This window comes from Homo sapiens, chromosome X (genome assembly GCF_000001405.40).
Source record: "Homo sapiens chromosome X, GRCh38.p14 Primary Assembly".
Lineage (NCBI taxonomy): Eukaryota > Metazoa > Chordata > Mammalia > Primates > Hominidae > Homo > Homo sapiens.
This window is the reverse complement of record NC_000023.11, coordinates 84709653-84713923: the sequence shown is the minus strand read 5'-3', so window position 1 is coordinate 84713923 and position 4271 is coordinate 84709653. Positions and strand designations below refer to the sequence as shown.

Genomic DNA, 4271 nt, shown 5'->3' with positions numbered 1-4271 from the left:
AAGGCTGCAAAGCTCTGTCCAAAGGTTAATATCCTGATCTCTCCTTTGTATCTGCCATTTTACTGCATCTTATATAGTACTGTTAAGTTGTCATTTTGGGGTGGTGGGCTGTGTGTGTGTGTGTGTGTGTGTTGTTCTATAATCTTAACAAATTATTGCAGCCACTTAGATGAAATTCATTACACAGAACATTTCCTGATGAAGTGACATCAGAGCAATGACCACATGCCTATAATATACAGCTGCATTCTAACTATCCATTGTCTTGAAATAAATTGACTCATGGGGCATTTAGGCCTCAGAGCTCAATAGATGACAATAAGTGTACTCCAAGGTTCATGTGGAATGTAAAAATTTAAAAAAAAGCTTCTATTAATGCCCTATATTAGAATTTATAAAGAGTTTTTTCTCGTAATTTTTATTGGAAAAATGTATCTAACTAATGTTAATCTGTGATGCAATTCCATGCAAAGAAAGTTATACCATGCAATTTGCAAAATTTTAAGGAATTTAAGGCTTAAATAGGGAGATACAGGAGAGGGAAGGAGAAAATGGCAAGGAGCCATTTACCTTCTAAAGGAAATAAAGCTCACTACTTAGGGAACTTGAATCCTCAATGGTCCTCCTTTGTCTGTAAACTATCTCCATCATTGTACATTGTATATTTCCCTACAGGTTTGCTTTGAGAAAGCTTCAGAATAATAATGTTTGTCTGCGATTTAATGCCAAGTAAAGAAGCCAGATTATCTAGGTATTTTTAACAAGCACAAGTAAATACAGCCCAGTTTAAGAAAGAGTGGGTTAGTTTGAGGGGCTGGCAAACTACGCCCAATGGGCCAAATCCATTTCACCACCTATTTTTGTATGACCCAAGAGCATAGAATGTATTTTACATTTTTATTACTAAAATGTAAAAAAGCCTATTAGTCCACGAATGAGAACAGTTGCTTCAAGAATTGAGGACATTGCCTCTTGGCCTGCAAAGCCTACAATATTTACAATCTGGTCCTTTATGGAAAAAGTTTGCCAACCTCTGAACTAGACGAGCTCCAAAGCCTTTTGTGACTCAGAGTTCATGAATCTGTGCCTTTATGCAAGATAAAAAGCCCTCCTAGTACTTTAAGATGGCTTTTCAATGTAGATAAATAATTGGTCTGCATGAATTGCTGAGACTTTAGAGGCTTCTCTTTGTATTTTTAACATTATCAAAGTCAAAAGGTAGTTTTCCCCTATGGAAAATTGTGATTTAGCTGAAAAAGGAATTTGTAAGTTGCATAAAAAAAGATGCTCTGTGAATCTTCTCATTTGGACTGAAAACAATAATAATCCAATTAACCTGTAAATGCTACACATGGAGGAGCCTTTTCACATTAAAAGACATTGTGAATGCTGAGCCATCTAAGATGTTTTCCTCTTACACCTAAAAGCTGCTTTTAAGAGATGCCAAGAGAATGAGGGAACAACTTAAGGATGGATTCCCTGGTTCCAGAAGAGTAGAAATGTGTAGCTCACATCTAAAGAGAGGAGGCTACAAAGTCAGTCAATAATAAAAATCATTCCTGTTTCTTACCAACTAAAACTTTCCTTTTTGGGTTTACATGCTTTACCGAACAACTTGAACCCTGTAAGTTGGAGGACTGGACATGATGTAAATTAAACACTTCTTCATTTAATGTCATCATCACTCTTTATCAAAATCTCTTTTATTCATATATATTTTGTCAAACTGAACTATAATATATGGAAGATTAGTCCTACTTAAAATGACCAAAGATCTGAAAATGTAAGAAAGTATTTCTAGCTATACTCCAAAGAATAAATGCTATTATGATATTACTTTCTCTTAAACTTATTTATTTATTCCTTTTCCATATATACATATATGAATATGAATATATATGATTATTTCCTTACTTTTTTCTATTTACCTAGGTATCTATGGCCATATAGTCTTTTAAGCAAACAACCATTTGAACTAGTGATTCTCAGCGTGTCTATCAGTAATACAATGTTTTCAACCTTTCATAGTTAATGAGTCATATTACAGTATTAACAAAAATACTGGAAAGGACGCTTCAGAGAAAAATGAATGTTAATGAATTTATAGTTGCCAAATAGTCTACAAGCAAGGTTTATGTTCAATTATGGAACTTTTTTGTTGCATTCTTGATTAAAATGCAAAATCATGAATTGAAATCGACTCTTGCTTAATATATAAAACTTAAAGAGCTGTATCCTAATAAAAATTTTAATATGTGTGAAATCTATTAAAGTAAAAAGCATTAATTAAAAATTCATATCAAAGTGTTAGAGCATGTAGATAGCTAGATATGAACAGGAGGGGAAACTCCTAGTAGAAAAAAAGAAAAAATGTCTTGGAAGGCTCACGCCCGAGGGGGCACCCAAAATTTTCATATTAATAACATCTCTAATGCTGGAGTGGGTGGGCACTTAGTCAAATGTGAGTGAGAAGAAGAGGAGTTACCTACACAGAAAGAAACACCCAGGAATGCCTCTTAAGATGCCACTTAAGAGTTGGCATCTCTTAAAAGCAGCTTTTAGGTGTAAGAGGAAAACATCTTAGATGGCTCAGCATTCACAAGGTCTTTTAATGTGAAAAGGCTCCTCCATGTGTAGCATTTACAGGTTAATTGGATTATTATTGTTTTCAGTCCAAATGAGAAGATTCACAGAGCATCTTTTTTTATGCAACTTACAAATTCCTTTTTCAGTTAAATCACAATTTTCCATAGGGGAAAACTACCTTTTGACTTTGACAATGTTAAAAATACAAAGAGAAGCCTCTAAAGTCTCAGCATTTCATGCAGACCAATTATTTATCTACATTGAAAAGCCATCTTAAAGTACTAGGAGAGCTTTTTATCTTGCATAAAGGCACAGATTCACGAACTCTTAATAATCATTCACTCTCCAGTTAAAATGTCAGAATATTGTTAGCTACATGCTGATAAGGACAAAAGGGACATTCCTATGAGAAACCTGGCACCACAAGTACAGATTAGCACAGAGAAGGAAATTCCAAGTAGATATTCATTTGCAATAGGTATGGATTTGACCATTCTACAACCTTCCTGGGTTGGCAGTAATGAGCAGGGCCTCCATCAGGAAGGATTTGTGTTAATCACCTGCTCGTGCATGCTCATTAACCAACAGTAAGAGCGGCTCCCACAAGCCTGTGTAGAGACTACCCAGGCATGTAGGGACTTATGGCAGGCGTGTGAAAACTAGACAAAGGACAGAGGTGGGGACTTGAGACAGAGGAGGGAATTTGAAGAAATCTGACATGATAAAACTCCCTGCACGGGACCCTCAGCGCTGTTTTTTGCAGGATCAGCCTGCTCCTTCCTTGGAGTGTACTTAATTTTTCCTGCAATATGCTTTTCACACTATATTTCTTTTCAATAAAGTCCTCTGCTATCTTTGTGCTATCTGTTGGTTGAAATCTTTCTTCTAAGTTTAGAGAAGTACTGGGACATCAGCTCTCCTCAGTAATATTCCTTGGTGCTGAAACCCAGGACTTTGCCTAGTCCAAGCAGGGTTCTCTGAGGTAAGTGCCAGGAGAAATTTCAGACCCCCATTAGACTGCCTCTGCTTCTTCCTACGTAATCCAAAAATAAAATTTGAAGCCCTCCCCCTCCCCACCATCTGAATGAACTCCCTCCTCAGCCAAGGCACTCTAAATTTAACCTGAAAAACTGGTTCAGGCCATGATGGGAAGCGGGGTTGGACATGCCTCATTATGCCCTCCTCCCTTTTGGATTTCAAGAAAAGCTGACAAGCATTTAACATCAACACAGACCTTAAGTCTGATAAGAAGCATTTACAATCTATTGTTTTTGAAGTCAGCTACCTGTAGGCTTCATCTGCATGATAAAACTTTTGTCTCCACAGCCTCTTGTCATAACCCAGACATTCCTTTCCATTGATAATAACTCTTTCAACCAATTGCCAATCAGAAAAAAATTTTAAATTTGCCTATAACCTGGAAGCCCCCACTTCGAGTAGTCTTGGCTTTCTGGACCAAACTAATGCATATCTTAAATGTATTTGATTGATGTCTCATGACTCCCTAAAATGTATAAAACCAAGCTTCACCCTGACCAAGTGGGCATATGTTGTCAGGGTCTCATGAGGGCTGTGCCAGGGGCCATGGTAACTCATATTTTCCTCAGAATAAATCTCTTCAAATATTTTATAGAGTTTGACATTTTTTCCTCTTTACTATTCTAATTCTAACGCAATTCTTGCTA

At 36.5% G+C, this 4271-nt stretch overlaps 1 annotated feature.

Annotated features, from left to right (window-relative positions):
* Positions 377-878: an enhancer, noted in NCBI's record as "NANOG hESC enhancer chrX:83968054-83968555 (GRCh37/hg19 assembly coordinates)". NCBI's record gives its function as "activates a minimal SCP1, AML or CMV promoter by ChIP-STARR-seq in naive H9 embryonic stem cells {active_cell/tissue: H9 hESC(naive)}" and the evidence as "EXISTENCE:reporter gene assay evidence [ECO:0000049][PMID:30033119]".